The 19,021-nt window shown below is 38.0% G+C and overlaps 1 protein-coding gene and 1 long non-coding RNA gene across 4 annotated transcripts in view; both read left to right on the plus strand.

The window, feature by feature from the left end:
• Positions 1–19,021, plus strand: part of MACROD2 (mono-ADP ribosylhydrolase 2) — a 2,057,682-nt gene that overhangs the window by 610,824 nt on the left and 1,427,837 nt on the right. The gene's annotated exons all lie outside the window — the stretch shown is intronic.
• MACROD2-IT1 (MACROD2 intronic transcript 1) overlaps positions 1–19,021 on the plus strand; it is a 74,525-nt gene that overhangs the window by 51,956 nt on the left and 3,548 nt on the right. Inside the window, exons 2-3 of the long non-coding RNA NR_104193.2 lie at positions 15,427–15,590; positions 16,535–16,675. This is a non-coding gene — a long non-coding RNA (MACROD2 intronic transcript 1). The remainder of the gene's footprint in view (positions 1–15,426; positions 15,591–16,534; positions 16,676–19,021) is intronic.

Genomic DNA, 19,021 nt, shown 5'->3' on the forward strand with positions numbered 1-19,021 from the left:
GACCATTTTCCTCATAGGATTTTTGGGAATATTGTCTAAGAAATATATGCAGCATGCCTATAACAATTCCAGGTACTTTGTGAGCAGATGATATACATCAACAATATTGTCACCACCAGTTAAATTAATTAGTTCCATTGAAATTGTGATTACTATTTTACCCTATTAAATTAAAACCCTGAGCCTGAAAAGCAGGAGTTGCTGGGATTCTGTGCTTACAGCAATATTAGAAACATAGTTGGCAATAAATTATTATTGTTTTATGTCAGAGATTGGAACTATGAGTCTTATGGGCCTACTGTTTTCAATACGTTTTTCTGTACCAATAATAACTTTAATTGTTAGAACCTATCCAGAAACTCCTAAGATTAAAATTTTTTTGTGTGTGTGATTTGGCTATTGATTTTTGCTTTTCTTTTTTAGCACCAGATATCCTTTCTTGTTTGTCCCAAGGCTTTTCATTATTTGTTAGAGTGACTTCATTTCATGGTATTATCTACTTTTATTTTCAAGTGCCAATTTATTAACTTAAAAATGCATAAAAATAAACTTTTGTTGTGTAAGTAACACATTTGCATGTGGGAAGAAATGGATGAGTGCACACACACACAATTCAAGGCACCCATAGTCCTACAATGCACACAAACACATGTGATTCAAGGCACAGATAGTCTTACACCTCACATAGCATCAGTGTTTGCATTTTGAGATACCATATCTTAATGTCATCTTTTGACTTTTACGCCATGTTTTGGTAAACTGAATTTCGTCTGGATTGAAACTCTCTTCTGCATAGCTAACCCCTTTGGTTTCAACAATGTGCAGAGAAGAGAACTCAGCAGCAAGCAGAGTCAATAGGGGTTCTAACATCTCTCTTCCAGCCCTGGGTTCCTTTCATGTAAAGGTGGCATCCAATAGGACTGCTGAAGTAGCATGAATTCACAAATGGAAATTGATTTCTATCAATTCTATATGAGCTAGATTATCTTCATAAAATCCAAACAGTCTGATTCTAAAACACAATTGGCCCTAAAGATGTTGAATGAGAGTTGGGAACTTGTATTAGCATAGGGAGGTAGCCAAGGAACAGTGTTATAAGGAGAAGAGCCCCAGAAAGGCAGTTATGTCTCAACTGCACTGTGATTTTATGAACTCTAATTCTGTTCTGGACTCACACTGCTCAATAACGAGGATGCAAAGCACCTGCAGCCTCCTCCTCTTTATTCTGTCCATTTCTCACCATGTCTTGCAGACCAAGGCATGTTTCCTGAATTCCTAGACTTAATGCTTTCTGTTCCATTAACGATACTTAATACATTGCCTTCTTCAAATAAAACAGATTTCCTTTGTTATAACGCTACATGACGGTCAGGCTAGAATGATCCTTTGCTGGAGCCACTTTATGAATCATACCTGTTTGTGAGATTGTAACACAATAAATTCCATGCCATCGTTTTGTCTCTGAATTGAGAAGAATCCCAAGAAGGGCAAATGTCACACTTAAATGCTATGGAAAGAGAAGAAAAGGAAGGACTGGAGAAGAAAACAAAATAAAGGAGGAGATTCATTTTTCCATAGTGGATAGCTACTTGAATTATTTTTAATTATTGTGGTTAAATCTACCAGGAAAAGGCCAGGTGTGGTGGCTCACACCTGTAATCCCAGCACTTTGGGAGGCCGAGGTGGGTGGATCACCTGAGGTCAGGAGTTCGACATCAGCCTGGCCAATATGGTGAAACCTCGTCTCTACTAAAAATACAAAAAAAATTAGCTGGGTATAGTGGCAGGCACCTCTAATCCTAGCTACTTGGGAGGCTGAGGCAGGAGAATCACTTGAACCTGGAGCACGGAGGTTGTAGTGAGCTGACATTGCGCCATTGCACTCCAACCTGGGCAACAAGAATGGAACTCCGTCTCAAAAAATAAATAAATAAATAAAGTTAACAGGAAAACATTTAGTAATTGTGTATTCTGTTTCCCCCTACAACTACTGTGAGTAATCTGCACTTTTATTTCTCTTTTGGCCCATAAGTTTTACATTAATCCTATTTTGCTATTTACTGAATAAAGGGAATTGAGAAAAAGGCATTTCTCATTCCAAGTTAGCCCTACAATGCCAAGTGTAAAAACTCAGGCCTAAGTGAAGTTTGAGGTCAGGATAAGCCAGGCTAACAGATCTTTCTGGATTTTACTTTGCATCTCATTCATTCATTCATTTATTCATTTAACTGATACTTATTGATTACTGAGGATGTGCCAGGACTGTACTGGGTGCTGCAATAGTAGTGGATGAAACAGTAAGGTCCCTATTCTCATGGAGTTTGACTAGTGGGAGGATGAGGGGAGAGCGACAAGTGTCAGTATACAGTAAATCAGTGAACGAGTATTTGGATTATATAACTTTAAACAGTGAATGGGGCTGTAGGAAAAATTGAATGGGTAATTGGGTAGAGGGACTGGAGGATAGGTAGGTACCGTTTTAGATAGAATGATCAGGGAAAATTTCTCTAAGGAGGTAGGATTAGAGCTGAGAAAGAGACAGATCTAAGGGATGTATTCCAAAAACAGGGATAGAAAATACTACTACCCTCAGATAAGAATAAGTTAATTCTGTCCAATGGCAGTGAGGGGGCCAGTGTGTAAGGTACAGAGAATTGAAGGACAGGGGAACTTGGTGAGGTTTGGGGGTTTGGTGGGGTCTATGTGCCACAGAAAGCTGATTTTGTTTTTGTCACAATGGGAAGCCATTAGAGGCTTTGAAGCACATGAATCAACATATTCTTATTTATAAAGGCCATTCTGGGAAAAACAGTGAAAGAAGGAAAATAAATTAAGAGACTTTCCAAGAAGTGAGAGACATTGGTGGTTTGAGTTGTAACATTAGAAACAGAGAGCGTCATAACATTAGAAACAGAGAGAAGTTAGAGGATTCAAAATACAAAATTGAGCTGCTAGTAGTTGCTGTTGTATTGATGTTGGGATGAGGAAAGAGATGAATCCAGGATAGTTTCCGGTTTTGGGATCTGAACAAATGGGAAGGTTATGCTGCCACTTACTGAGGAGGGGAAGACTTATTAGCAGACTAGCCAGTTTGATGTGTGTTTGGGGGTACTGTGGGGAAGTACTTAAAGGTCACTTCTTTCCCCTTTTGTGTCCTTAGTGCTTTGTGGTGACTCAGGAAGTTAGAGTGTGTACTTTTTTCAGGTGATCTTTCATGAGCTGCCTACTCTGAACTTCATTGGCTTTGATTTCCATTGCAACCTAATTTTTGAAATACCAAATAGGAGTATCATTCTTCTCCCTGCAAAAATACTTATGTGTATGAAGATTACACAAATGGCCAGTTCTCAGTAAATCATGTGTTCAAAGTTGTGGTTCCATATAGTGATGGGTTTATGTGGAAACAGACATCCTCATCTTGCTTCATCTGCTGTGTAATCATTAACTCATGAAGATAACAGGACTGTCTGGGGTCATGGGCTGTGGGACAGAATGAAGCTCCATTTTCTACAATGGAGAGAAAATCCCAAGAATCAGTATTTTCATACACGAAATTAACCAGCAAAAATCTTCAAGAACTTAATCCCTTTCCAGTGAATGAGTAATAAATTTTTTGTTCTTCTTTTTTCGTATTTTGTAGTCAAAAGCTCATGTATACCGCAGGGTTTTACAACACTTTCTGTCTTTAAATTTAAAGCAGCAATAAGCAGACATGTTCTGTAACCAGATCCAAATGTTCTGGTCCCTGCTTTAAGTTGAGAAAATCTGATTTGGCAAACAAATAAATGAGCAACAAGAACAGCAAAACTAACTTGACAAAATGGGTCATTTAGTTTGGAAAGGGGTTTATTGTAGAATGCCTTTAAATAATAAACAACATTAAAAGACTTAAACTATAATTTCATAAACAATTTTACAGAGACACATTTATTTCATCTAACATTGACCTTCTGTAATGTGTTGAATCTAAATTCTTAAGTTAAAGCATAAAGTAGCATGGGGATTTTTACTTCATTTTCAAAGAAAACACAATATAATCTTTCATTTCATTTTCCTCAATGAATAAAATATTTGTCACTCTGTGTTATAATGTGAGCGCTTCTAGTAATTTTTCATTTTTACCTGAGGTTTCTTTTTTACCCACTGCTAAGTTCATTTCTCAGGTCAGCAATAATGTTGGGATAAATTCATAAATAGTTATTCTTTGAATGGTGAAAATAAAATGTGTTTTATTCATGAGTAAGTATAGTGTTTGCTTGTTGCTGATATTGTATTTGGGTTGAAATACATATTTTCTTTTTACTATTATCTATTTTAAATAATTCTGGAAATACAGTATGACAGATTTTAATCAGTAAAGCCTAGCATTGTATGAGGGTTTTTTTCTCTTTTCAAGATAGTGTATGTGAAAGCATACATCAATAATAATAAAAGTTGAATTCAGATGAAAATGCTTTGAAAATGGTCAACATATGCAAATGTAAGGTATTTTTATTATTGTTATTGTTATTCTTTGTCATTATTAAGGTATACTCGATAATGATGTTAGCTTGGTTTATAATTCAAGCATTAGGTAATAAAGACAAGGTACAGTTAATTCTGCATTGGAGACTCATATTAACAAACGTTTTTGGTAAGTCTATTTTAGTCATTTCATAGAGGGCTTTGCTGGAATTGTATTGCTTCAAATACTTGTTTTCAGTACTTTTACATTCTTGGAATACTTGCATTTAGATTTTTGTTAAGAGGCAGTATATGGTATGGTGGTTAAGAATGTGGTCTATACCTATGGTGTCAAACTACCTGCATTCAAATATCACCCAAGCCACTTATTATCTGCAAGAGCTTGGACAAGTCATATAGCCATTTTATACCTGTGTTTCCTTATCTGTGAAATGACAATAATAATAGCATTCAGTTTTGATGATCAAATGTGCTAGTTTCCCAGATGTGAAACATTAGAAGAATACCTGGTGTATAGTAAAAAATAAATGTCAGCAATGATTATTTCTTACACAAGCCTGGTGAAAATTCAAGTTTACTGGTTATTAAATTGCATTGGTTCTGTTTGGGGTCTTCCTCATTATGTTCAGAGATCAGCAATGCCCTGAGGTTTTTTTTTTTTTTTTTTTTGGCGGGGGGTCATATTTGCCTGATTATATCTCATCGTCAAGTAGAAACACTAAAATACATAATTCAAAACAAAGATTTGATCTTCAAAAGGGAAAGACAAAGCACCATCTCAAATTTGCTGTACCGAAGGGCCTGGCTCAGTGCCTGACACATGGTAGGTGCTCTGCAGACCTGGGTCCACCCATGGATTATCTCTGCCCAGGATTCTGACCCATAAAAGGAAGGGCATTCTTTCCACATTCTTGGTAAATCTGTGTAGGATTCTTATCTTAAATGTAGTCTTTAACCTTAGGAGACTCAGAAACTTTGAAACTATAGTATTATGACTGAAATATTAAGCTTTTTAAAAACACATACTTTAGTTCATTTAGCTGTCTAATATTTTCTCTGTTCTTAAATTTGCAACCTTTTAAAATGTATGGTTTTAAATTACATAGTGGATTATTCAGGTACTCATCTAACATTTAAAATGTAAACAGTGCAAATTTTTCTTAAAGGCAAGAAGCAGGGGATTATCATATGTGAAAGGGAGTAGAAATATGATCTTTTTATTCTTGCTTGCCTAGATTTTGCAGTTTTAATCAAATTGGCATTTAAAAATACTGGGCTCTATCTGTTAAGAACTGTCTGTTGTTTATAGAGATTTTTAGGTGTAAATTATCTAGCCAGATGTTTAAGCACCAAAGGGAAACAAGTTAAATACAATTAACCCAGTCTTCATTTATCAAGTAGTTAATTCTCAGCGGTAGGCCACAAAATCAGTCTTTTGATCCCAATAATATATATAGGTATAACTATTTAGATAACATAAAATGAAAGTTACAAAGCCTTATTTTGAAACTCTTTAAGCTTGGCCAAATTAGGGAACATTTTATTCAATATAGGTGGCTTCCCAAATTTTGGTTACTGATTGCCTTTGTCATTGCCTTTAGGACAACTGTAGACTTTGTGGATATTGGAACAGATATAATAATTGTACTGTAATTTCCCACCAGGTAAATCACATAATTATTATGGGAGTATGAAAATATCTGAGAACAGGGACAGGGTGGGGGTGTGTGGGATACATACACATATGCATGCAGTATAAAAATAAGATTGCAAAATGTTGCATCATTTCAGTTGCTCAACTGCAGCTCAACTCAACTCTTGCATAGTCCCCTATAACATTGTGTTAGTGTGGAATTTAGGTACATTTTAATATGTTTCATATGCTATGAGGTCGGACCTCCCTAAAACAATAGTCTTAGGATCTATAAAGTTCTTAAAACTCATCTGATTATGGTGAGTTTTTAAACATTTTGCATAATTTTTTAAATTCTAAAAGTATTATGAAATGACAGAAGGTTTGGGTTTGGGAAACAAAGGGAGGAAAAAAATCAGCTACTACTTAACAAAAATCATTTGTACCTTGCTCTATATCTAAATCTATATCTACATCCCATTGTACTTTCAGGCTTGTACTTTATTTCTTCTATGCACCTACAGTGAAGTTTTAAATATTCTGGGCTCTGTGTATAAAGGTTCTGAGTTCTTCAGTATTCCTGAGAAGGAGCTTAAAAATACTGTGATTTTTATAAGTCGCATTAGAGACCTAGGAAATCATTCCAAAACATTAATTTTGAGCCAAATTTCTAATAGGGTATTAAAAACAGGGGTATAGTGGAAATTGTATTAAATAAGAATCAGGAGTTTATGTTCAAGTCGCACTTCTGACAACATGAGTTCTATCAGTTGAAGTATGTTTGCGATACATGAATGTATATGAGAAATACACATATACAGTCAAGAGAATAAGCAATGATTCATACGCATTCCCCAGAACCATGCTTTATGCTTAAACAAGATTTATGGACTTGTTTTCTTGGGCTTGCATTTCCCTGTGAGAGAGTATTTTACGGTGGGCTGGAAGGTGTTTCTGTTTCTCTTGGTTAACATATATGGGGAGCAACAGAAGGTAACAGGAATGATTGAGAGGGAGACAAAGAGACCTTGGGAAGGGTGGATGAGAGCAGTGGGGAGGAAGAAAGAAGGGTAAGGATCCAATTATTTACTTGACATCTATTTGCAACTCTATTAAGTATGGAGATAAAAAGAGAGATGGGTATTAAGGGGACAAAACACAGTGGAGATTTTAGCTACCCCCAGTGTTTTCCTCTGGCTCACTGACTTCCAGTTATCCTCTTTCTTTGCTTATTGTTACATGTTTTTGGATATCAAAGAGAGTATCCTAAAATAACTTTGATACAGTTAATGATCTTAGTGGAATGATAGGAGTTTTAAAAAAGAACAAAGAGCATTCCATTTGTATTATAGAACAATTAAATAAAAATCCACTTACAGCCATAAGTTGCAAATTTTTAAACATATATCATTTACTTATCTAGCTCATTTTTACCTCATCTGCCTATGTAAACCCATCGTTATTCTAAGTCTCCCTTAATAAACTAAGATTTCCTTCTTACTCTAATATTTGAGATCTAAGTACAATCCAAATGTCAGAGGTTATTGTTGTTGTTATTATTTCCACCATGGAGACCTCCGATTTTCTAATAAAATATTTTTATAAATTTTACTCAACACAAATTAGTTTACTTTTCATGCTGTCTCCAAAAGTGAGGAAGTAGAGTAGTTAAGAGTCATAAATTCGGAGCCTGAGTTTTGGGGTTTGATGTAACTCCACACCTAACTAACTGTGTGACCTTGAGCAAATTACTTCAACCTTCTGCCCTTTCATTTCTTGGTCTATAAAATGATGACAATTATAGTAATTTTCTCATAATGCTGTTATGAGGCTTAAATTAGTTAACTTGGGGTAAGTGCTTAAAACAGTACTTAGAACACATAGCTCTTCATATTTCAGTGGTTCTCCACGTTGGTGACACATTAGAATCACCTGGGGAGTTGGTGCTCACCTCACCCATTAAATCAGAATCTTTGGGGGTGGGGCCCAGTACTGGGAGCAATTGAAATTGGGAGCAATTATTGAAATTGCTGAGGTGATTCCAGTGAGCAGCCAGCGTTGGGAACGATGGCCGTAAATGGCTGTAATTATCCTGCTGACTAAATTATAAACTTCCTGAGGGCAGGGAGTCCATTACTTCTTTTTATACATCCTTCCTAGTGCAGCTAGCACAGTGCCTTACTTGTAACTAATGCTCATTAAATACTATCAATGAAAGAAAACATGTTGATGATATTTTAGATGTGTAAAGACCTTGCAGGACCACAGAGGTGCTAATTTTAAGCATTAATTATTCATTCCCTCATTTATTCATTTATATGTGCTACACACTTTGGAGTCTTGATGCTAAACACTGCAGGCATATATGATTTGAAAATGCAATCCCTGTTCCAAAGAGTTTATAATTTAGTATGAATAAATGCATACATGACTTTAATAGAAGGGAAACTAACCATGTATAAGTGCTGTGTTACAATTTAGGTTCCCTTGGAGGCTGTCTCTAAGATGGAGCATGCAGAGCGTTTGTTTGGAAGTGCTCTTGAGAATAACACCTCTGCGTGTGCTGGGGAAAGGGAAAGCTATGGAACCATTGAAATATGAAATAATTGGACAGGGAAAGAAGTTAGGTTTTGATGCATTCCAAGTGAAGTTTTCAGCTAACCCCACAGGAGCTCTGGGGCTGGGGTGACTCTTCAGAGTCTTAAGTTGGGCTGCAGGGGGCCAGGTTTTTATTCCTGCATATTGATCAGTGCTTGGATACAGCTGTCACTGGAAGTAGTGACCTTGGATGAGGCATGTTTCTTTAGCAGAAGCAATTCCCAGATACAAGTGACAGCTCAGGGTGCCCTCTGGCAGTTCTTCCCCGGATAGGGGAATAAGTCCTTCATTCCTAAAGGAGGATTCGAGTGGAGTGTCACCGCGTCCATCACATGCAACAAGAGATAAACGAACAAAAAAAATTATCCTGGCTAAAAGAAGAGAGATCACATTTATTTAGATGGGGAGGATAAGAGTTAGGGTGAATTGGGAATTACTTTTTCAAATGGATGCCATTACAATTTGATATTTAAGGATGGGTGAGATTTCAAGAGGCTGAAATGAGGTGCAAGGTGTTCCTGGTATAGGAAACAATAGAGGTAATGGTGGGGAGGTATGAAGTATAGATTTGTGGAGAAGCCCATGGGTCTAGAAGCTCAGGCTAAGCAGCTTAGGCATAATTTGGTTGACTTTCAGGAGCAGGGAAGAATATGTGCCAGTGTGTATTAGAAAGATTAGCCTGGTAGCAATATGGAGACATAGGTGGGGCAGAGCTTGCAATCAGGAAGATTAGGTAACAAGCCAATGAAATAAACTACACTAAGGATCAATGCAAGAAGAAAATGCATGAGAAAGGCAGGAAAGCAGAGAACTGCAAAGAGCTGAGTGGATGCAGGAGGCAGTGTAGATGTACGTGGGACAGGTATGACAGCAGACAAAATGTTTCTATGTATGTAAGGTGGTGTGAGTGGTCAGTCACCAGGGGATAGCCTAGTGAAGAGAGGCACAGTGATAGAGAAGAGAGCCAGAAAGAGCAGTGGCTTTGATCCATTATCCGCAAAGGAAGAGACAAGTGTGACCAAGGTTTTTATAGAGCATTGAGTGTGCATGAAGGTAGATTACTCATGTTGATTTGAATCCTGTTTTCTTGTATTACTATCTGGGACTTTCTTGGCAATGTCAGAACATTCTGTCATGGCCATATAAACAGCACGTATGTGGTCTGAGCCCAGTCATGTTGGAGCACTGTGCTAGATGGTACTAGGCAAAGCTATGAAATGACTAATATTTGTTCTAAAAATGCTAGTCATCAGTGTTTTCACTTTCTAGCCATCCCTTCCAGGCCTTTAGAGTACTCATCCACCTTCTATCTTCCTTCTTCCCTGTCAAAAATGGTCGCTTATACCACAGTGATGGTTTCTCCAATTATATGTCATCTATTCCTGAAGTATCTGTAGTCATAGGATTCAATTCAAATTCTCTTTAAATGAATTTTGGTGAATAATATTATTTTGAGCAAGTGGGCTTCTGAGCCCCTGGAAATGATGTTAAGTGTAAGGCCACCCTCGGTGATTTAATTTTGAGGGCCAGTATTTTCAGGATTTGAACAAAGTGGAAAATTAAGTGATTTTTGCGGCTTCTTAACCTTGGAAGGAGGTCCTGGAATGATATAAATACTGCCTTCTAGGGGACTCAGCTGTGGGACATTGTATGACTTAATATTGTTTTAATTTCTTTTTTCTCCTCTCTGTCACAAAAATGAGATGGATGAACTGATCATCCCATAATTTTTCATTATGAAAGAACTTTTCCTACTTCATCTTAATGTCTAGGGTATTTCATTTAAGAACAGCTTAAATGAGCCCTCTTTCAAAATAAGCTGTCCTGTAATACCATTAGTTCCCAGCTAGTCACTTTGTGAAGTCACAGAACTGTGTACAATCTCTCTTTTGATTCTAAAACCTTGGGAGAAAGTAATTGAAGTATAGACACTTGAGAGTCTCAATTTTATTGCTTTGCAAAGAAATTTCAATTTAGAGTTTATCTAGGTTACAGTCCCCAAATATTTCTCAAGGAGGATAAATCAAATTTGTTGGAGAGTTCCTAGTCATGTATCATTCAGTCCTATTACCTGAACTGCCTTGTTTGACATTGTCAGTTGGAACACTCTCTTGGCTATGATTAGAACTCAACCTTGGTTTGGGTGACAACTCACTCTTCTTGCTTGTTTCTCTCTTTCTCGCTTTTAACTCCGAGATTCAACATAGTTCTTTGAAATGATTTATGTTTCATCCTAAGTCATTAGTGTGTGCTTCCAAGTGGCCAATCTTTCCTCCTTTGTTGGTTAATGTTTATAGGAAACCTCTTGGAGTAATGACTCACTGTGATACTTCATCACTTGCCTGCCTCCTTATATTTGAGACTTTACCCTTCTTTGCATCTTTAAAACATATTCTGCTCTCTCAGTGGTGAATATGATTCTATGCCTGCTCTATGGGTAAACACAAACCATTCTCTATGTATTAGGAAAGATAAATGTGTGCCACTCTCCTCTGTTTTTCTGCAAGAAATGTTCTTTTATCTGCAGACTAAGAAACCATATACAAAACTCATCTAGGTTGCTTCACAGATGATTATTCATCATTAGAGTATTAGAAATCAAATGAAAGGATAATATGTAACTACTTTTAAGAAGTAGTTCTCCTTTTAAAATAACTAGCTCACTCAAGTACTTCTATTTTTTAATGCTACTTTCCTTACTCAGTAAGAGTCAAGACACTATGAGACTCTGCGAAATTTGAATTCTGCTTGTTACCGAAACCCTGAGCCCTTATAGATGATGTTAGAGAGCACCTTTTCCAAATTCCTTCAGGCGAAGCCTCGCAATCATGAAAGAGGGGAGAGGAATGCTTTGGTGGTTATTTGTGCAGGTGATAATTTGTACAGAACTAGACTTCAGAGTCTTGGAGCTGAAGGGAGTCACAAAGGAAGGTTTCTTCAATCTCTCTTCTTTTGCGGAAAGAAGGATGTCATCCTGACTAAAGTCATAAAGCAACTAGCAACCTGAGTAATTGAATGATTTAACCAAAGCTCACTTTAATGGGTCTGCGGTCCACACCTGCCCTCCAATCCCTATGAATTTTTTTTTCATCAATGTATCCCAAGCAGCTAAAATAATGCCTGGCACTTAGAAGGCCCTATTTGCTCATTTACTGAATGGATGAATTGATGAGCTGAGCTAAGGGAAAAAGGAATTCAAAATAGCAGTTGCTTTCCTCTTAGGCAGTGTTTTTTCCACCACCTAGCTATACCTTATCTTGTTTGTGTGTTTTGAGAGGCAGCATAGTAGAATGCTCAAATACAGATGTTTTGGAAAAGAACTGCCTATGTTCAAATTTCTGCAGTGTAATCTTCAACAAATTACTTACCTCTCAATTTTCCTGTGTTAGAGATAATTATAGAACAATGTCTCTTAGGATTGCTGTGAGGATTACCCGAGTTAACTTGGGAAAAGTACTTAAAATGATACCTAGTATATTGTTGGCACTCAATCTGTGTTAGCTGCTATCTCGGGAATGGGCAGTCAGTGGCATGTGGTGTAACGCACAGGGTTCCTCCCTGGAGGCAAGTCTGGAACTTGACAAGCTCCTCTGAAACAAGGTGGAATCATGGGGTTTCAGCGTGGGGTGCTGAAGACTTGCACTATGCAGCTCTCCTCACATGCCACATTGAGTCCCAGATTTCTGCAACCACAGAAGTTTAAGAGAAGCTTTGCTGAAAGTTTGAAACCAGTGTGAATACATTCATATGGTAAATAACAGAGCCTCTGAAAAGGAGACAATGAGATGCCCAAGAAATTCTATGGGCTTTAGTGCCACCCAAATAGAATGTCTTTATTGGCTCAGCTGCTCATTAGCTGCCTGTCCTGGCAAAACTATTCAAATCCTTAGAACCTTAGTTTTCTTACTTGTAAATTTAATTAAAAAATACTTCTTGTATAAAATATGAAATAACAGGTACATGTAAAGTGCTAAGTGTATCATAGAGATGTAATAAATGATAAGCCCTTAAAATAACGATCATAGCCATAAAAATCCAAGGGATTGGAAAAAGCAATGCACATACTATGTAAAGATATCATTATTTCATTTGCTTGCTTCTTCAGAAAGTAACAAGGTGGTTTCTAGGCAGTCAGTGCCATGCAAGTATTTTGTCTCAGGAGCCTTTGTTCTTGAAATTTTTATCCATGAACTCTGTTAAAATTATACCATGACTTCAAAGTCATCTCTGATTCCAAAGCCTCCCTCTAACTAGGCTGCTTGCAGGAGACTTTGGTGTCTTTCTTCAGTAGAAGAAGAAAGAAAGAGAGAGGAAGAAAAGGAAGGAAGGGAGGGAGTGAGGGAGGGAAGGAAGGAAGGAGGGGGGAGGAAGGAAGGAGGAAAGGAGGGAAGGAAGGAAGGGAGGGAGGGAGGAAGGGAAGGGAGGGGAGGAAGGAAGGAGGAAAGGAAGGAAGGAGGGAGGGGAGGAAGGAAGGAGGAAAGGAGGGAAGGAGGGAGGGAAGGAAGGAAGGAAAGAAGGGAGGGAGGGAGGGGAAGGGAGGGAAAAGAAAAAAAGGAGTATAGAGATAACTAGGCATAATGGACATCAAGGCCAATTTTGTCACCCATTTGTATTCCCTATTTTTCCCTTTCTTTTGGAGCTTATTGATAATGAGGTGTTTCATCTGACTTTTGTGAGTGAAATATGGCTGTTATCAATCCATACTACCTTGTAAGATGACTGGCCAGCTTAGTCTGCAATAACAAACAACTGCAGAATCTCAGCGCTTAAATCAACAACAAAAGGTTATTTCTTGTTCGTGCTATGATTCCACTATTGATTAGATGGGAGCTCTGTGCTGCTTCATGCTTATTCAGCCAATAGAGCCTCCACTGTCTGAAATGTTGCTAGTGGCCATCATGGGTGAGGGAAGATAGCAAATTATGATCTGGCTTTTAACACATATCTTTGTCTAAAAGACTATGTGGCCCTGACATTTGTCACTTTGAGACAGGAAGTAGGCTGGAAGAGGAATGTGTCAAATATTTGGTGACCAGAAAGTTGAGTAGTCATTATTTGGGATTCCCGTCTATTCTGGTTCTCTTCTTCTGCATACATGGTAGGGTTGCACTTTGATGCCCATTTGAATTAGCCATTGGCCAGTGAAGTGTGCATAAGGATGATGTGCCACTTCCATGTTGAAGCTTCAAAATCTAGCGTGCAGTTTGGAATATTCTTTCCTCCTGTCCAAGTGACCCATATGTTTATGGCTCTGTCAGTCTGGGTTTTTGAATGAAGACAAGGTGGAGTAGATTGCTCCCACCAACCTAAGATGGATGCGTACTATGAGCAAGAAATAATAGATTTGTGTTCTGTCATTGAGATTTGAATGTTGTTTGGTCTGGAACATATCCTAGCTTATTCTAACCAATTCTGATAGGGAACATATTAGGATAAATTTCCAAAAGTTAAAAAAAAAGTTTTCTTTTGTTTATCTAGATATATATCTCCTCAAATTTAATGAGCCCAGAGGCAATTTTTCAGTATCATAGGGAGAAAAAAATTACGTAGGCTCCTTTGATTGGTTCACTTGATTAGTGGTAGGGGTGCTGGTGTTAGTAAGAGGTCATATTTGGGAACAAGGAGCTGTCTATATTAATTATAGCTGCAGGATGTGGTTGGGCTGTCAACTTCTTTTCTGCTAGACAGAAAACATAATTTAGGGATCCATCACAAATACATTTATCCTAATGACAGGATATCGGAGAGCACATGATTTTCATACACACTGTCTTTCCTTTCTACTTTTTCTTTAATTTAAATGAGTTTATTATATACTTAGATATTTTAAAGGGAAGATTCTTAATTTCTTAGCTTTGTTTTATAGAAATCAATGAAGAAAGGAGGGTATTATTGGCAAGTGGGAAAACAATAGGTTTGTATTCCAAGCAGATGGTTTGTGGACCTCAAAGATTTCACATTCTCTATCAGTCCTGAAAATTAGACAGAGTTATGAAATCAAGTACAGAGCGTACTACTGATTCGCTGTGTGACCTTGGGCAAGGCACTTAATCACTTTAGATCTTAGTTTCCTCATTTTAAAAATGAGGATAATAATACTGGCATAAGTCACAGGGATGTTGTGTGGATAAACTAATTAATGATTGTAAAATGCTTTGAAAGTGCAAAGCGTTGTATAATTGTTAGGTGCTATTATTAAGAAGTATTATTACTGTGTTGTGTGTAATTCTTATTAGGGCTTCTCTTTGCTTTGAAGTCAGCCTCCACGTGGACTATGGGGTTGGGATAAGTTTACAGATGTGCTGCTCAAGTGCCTTTTTTGCCTGGAGAAAATACTCAGTAGCTAGGGTAATCATCATTATGAAGAGGATCTCTTCAAGATAAAAAAGATAGGAAATGATCTCCTTTTTAAAAAATGGAAATTGCTCTAACTTTAAAAGTATCAATCAATTCTTTAAAACCTCATACAGCCCTATGTTTCAGGAAAGTCTAACATCATGCAAAATTTGAAACTTCAGGAATTTTCTGCTCAGCATAACATGGGAAATGTTGTTGCTAAGATAACTTTAAATCAGCTGAACCAGCTCTTTCTAATTTTCCCACAGTGTTTGCTTCAAGGATGAAAACAAGTGAGGTATCCTCTAGAGGAGAGAAATTCTGAGCTGTGGCTGTGTTTTGCATGTACAAAAAGTTAAAACCCCAATCCAAATTAATTTTTATTTGTTTTGTAGATTCTCCGTTGGGAAGTGTGTTTCTAGGTACATAAAAACGAGCTATTTTTCTGAAGGTCAAGTATACACCATGTTTATACGTGACTACCTGGTGCAGCTGAGCAATATTGACTTTGATGCAAAAAGACCACAGTCAGGCCTTGGGAGGATTTCTCATTAGCTGTGTGAGTTTTAACAAAATAATTTAACATTTGCCTCAGTTTCCATATATAGGAATGTGTGTAAAATAATTCCTGCTTACCTAATAGGCTCTGGAAGAGCTCAAAGAAGGTAAAATCTTTGGAAAATATTTTACAAATACAATGAAATAATTAAATTGTATTACATTATTTTATTTAACATTTTAATCATTTTTAATGTATTCCTGAGTTAACAAGCCTCTACATATATTTCCATTGGATAATAAAGATATTAGAAACTCAAATAATTTTCTTGCAATGATCTACATACATGCCTTTAGTTTTATATCCCATGACATGAAGAGAAAGAAGTCCATATGCACTTTCTGAGAAGTTGTCCGTTAAGTAGGTCAAGGGGTATCTGAGATGTGAGCGGGTAGCTTTGGTCATTTGCTTTTCTATGATTGCACACCTTTTTAAAAAAAAATGCTGTGTGCAGTCATATATGTGTACAGCATTACCTTTTAAAATCACCAGGAACTAGGAACATAGGATAGATTTGTTTGCTATGCAAATGAATAAAACTTGTACCAAAGAAATCTAATGTTTAACTCCAAGACACAAAAGAGTTGTTAGAGTTTGAGCTTATTGTACTATCATAGGGGATAAAAACTTCCAGAAACTTCTGAGAGGCCAGAAGTTTTCAGAGTCTAGCTTTCTAGGATCTGAGGACGAAAGTACTTAGGTCTACCCTTGAGGCACCATTATTTTCTACCAAACATTTCACTTCTTGTGATCGCCTAAGTCTTTGCAAGAAGAACAAATCTCACAATCCATTTATTTACTCTCCTAAAAATGTTGACCACGTGAAATGACAATCAGTATACCACAGTTGTTTATCCCCTCAGTGGTGCCAGAGAAGAGGTAATGGCAGAGTTTGTAAGGTTTGCTTTCTAATTTTTGTCTTACTGGCATATTTTCTATGGTAGATGCTCTGGTGGGTACCCAGATCCCCCTTTCAGAACCGAGGCACTATTTCCCCACCTACTGGAAGTGTTGTCTGCTGATGACTCACGGCTAAGTCCCTCTACTGGACTTGACTGCTGGTGCAGGAAGCTGCCCTCTCCAAGGTAATGCCTGCCTCCCAGGGGCTAGCTCACATCCAGTGACTCAACAACATAGATAGTACAAAGCCACAGCCCCTTGTTTTGATGAGGAAACTCCCAAAGACTATCTTAATGCCAAAGTTCTCTGTAAGTTTGGCTGAGACCTGTGTTACAACTGAATTACAGTTTTTTTTGTTTTTTTTTTCTCAACCAACCTTGAAGCCATCAGGCTGATATCTAGGGTCAATTCCCAACATAACATGGACAAGAATATACTGGGTCTGCTATGGAAGGAAGCTCAAAGAGCCATGTGTTCTCCAGGAATTGGGAGCATATATGTTGGACTGGATCCAGAGGGTGCTGGTTCAAAGTGGTTGGAACAGAAAGTTGAATAAGGGAGAGTTTATGAACGTGGGATCACTTGCTAATGATAGAGAATTTAACACCCTGGCAAGGGCTTTGGGAGATGGTGTTAACATATTGCTAAAATGATTCTTGAAAGCTTGGTAAAAATGATGACCAATACTATAATAAATAGAAATGCCAGAATTTTGCTGTAGCAGACAGTGGATGAACTAATCAAAAGGCTCAGAGAAGTTGTGTTGGTACACAGAGGGCTGAAAAACTAACAGATGGTCGTGTTCTGGAGGACCTGGAGCCAAACAGATAATAAAAATATTAGTGAGAGGAGCATCATCATCCCTGAAAAGCCAGTGGTAGCCATCCTCTGTTGTCCAAGGTTCACTGAAAAGATGCTGTTACAGAATTGGACTCTCTGATAGCAAAGAAAATGGTGATGAGCATAAGTCTGGCCCCTACAAAAAACATATAAATTCTAGTGAATGACAGAGGGCTATCACAAACTCAACCAGGCTTCAAGTACATGGTTGGCAGCCATTGATCTGGCAAATCCATTTCTTCTCATCTTATCAGGGAGGAGGAACAGAAGCACTTCACATTCACTTGAATTAGATAACAGTAAAAACTTACAGTCTTGCCCCAGGGCTATGTTGTCTGTCTTGGACTCTTAAGGAACCTGGACTGTCTGGACATCTGCTGAATCTCACATGGATCTGTTATTTGATGGCATAATGTTTATCAGACTTATCTGCAGTAAGTGGCAAGTCTTGGTAAGGCATGTGTGATCTAGAAGGCAGGAGGTAGACCTTATGGGGATACAGGGGTCTTCTCCATCAGCTTTAGGTGTCTGAGGCATGCCGGGACAGCCTCTCCAAAGTAAAGGAGAAACTATTGCAATTAAGCAGTGAGACACGTTAAGAAGGAAACACAACATCTGACAAGCCTCTTTGGGTTCTGGAGGTAGCATACATATTTCACACTTAGTAATACTGTTCCAGTCTTTTACTAAGGGACATTTTAATGCTGTCAACTTTGATTGGGTTTTAGAATAGAAAAGAGCTGGATAGCAAGTTCATGCCACAGTGAAATCAGCCCTGCCACTAGAGTCATATAATCTGGCATCTCTTGTGCAAACCCCAGTAGGAAAATGACAAAACAGAACCATAGGGTTAGGAGCAAAGACATGCCCTCTGCAGCTAATAATTATGCACCTTTGGAAAAATAACTTTAGTGTGTGCTACTGGGTGTTGGTAGTATGAAGCACTGAAATGAAACTACTACATCTGGGATTGAACACAGCAAAGGCCAGAAGGCAGAAGAAAACTGCATGAGCAGGTGGCCCCTTTCCACATGTGAGGGACCACAGTGGAAACTGCACTTCTTCCTCTGCTCACACCAATAGCTGCATCCAAGGTGGGGGATGTTATCCTAGTTGATAAAGAAGGAAAAAGTATGAGCTTGGTTCATGAATTTATCAGCTTATTAGATGAATGCCAGCCAGAAATGTACTGCTGCAGCACTACTACCTCATTCAAAGGTGCCTCTGAATTATAGCAATGAGAGGAAATCCTCCCAAAGGTCAGAGGTTTGCACATTGCACCTTTTGTATGGTCCAAGTTAAGAATATACACAAATTCATGGTTAATGGTGAATGGCTTGGCCGGCTGGTGAGGGACCTAGGAGAGATTGAAAGATTAGGCTGGGTGTGGTGGCTCATGTCTGTAATCCCAGCACTTTGGGAGGCTGAGGTGGGTGGATCCCCTGAGGTCAGGAGTTTGAGACCAGCCTGACCAACATGAAACCCCGTCTCTACTAAAAAGACAATAATTAGCTAGGCATGGTGGCAGGCGCCTGTAATCCCAGCTACTCGAGAGGCTCAGGCAGGAGAATCACTTGAACCCAGGAGGTAGAGGTTGCAGTGAGTCGAGATCGTGCCATTTAACTCTAGCCTGGGTGACAAGAGCGAAACTCAGTCTCAAAAAAAAGAAGAAAAAAAAGAAAGATTAGGAA

The sequence above is a fragment of the Homo sapiens genome, chromosome 20 (assembly GCF_000001405.40).
Source record: "Homo sapiens chromosome 20, GRCh38.p14 Primary Assembly".
In the NCBI taxonomy this organism is placed as follows: Eukaryota; Metazoa; Chordata; class Mammalia; order Primates; family Hominidae; genus Homo; species Homo sapiens.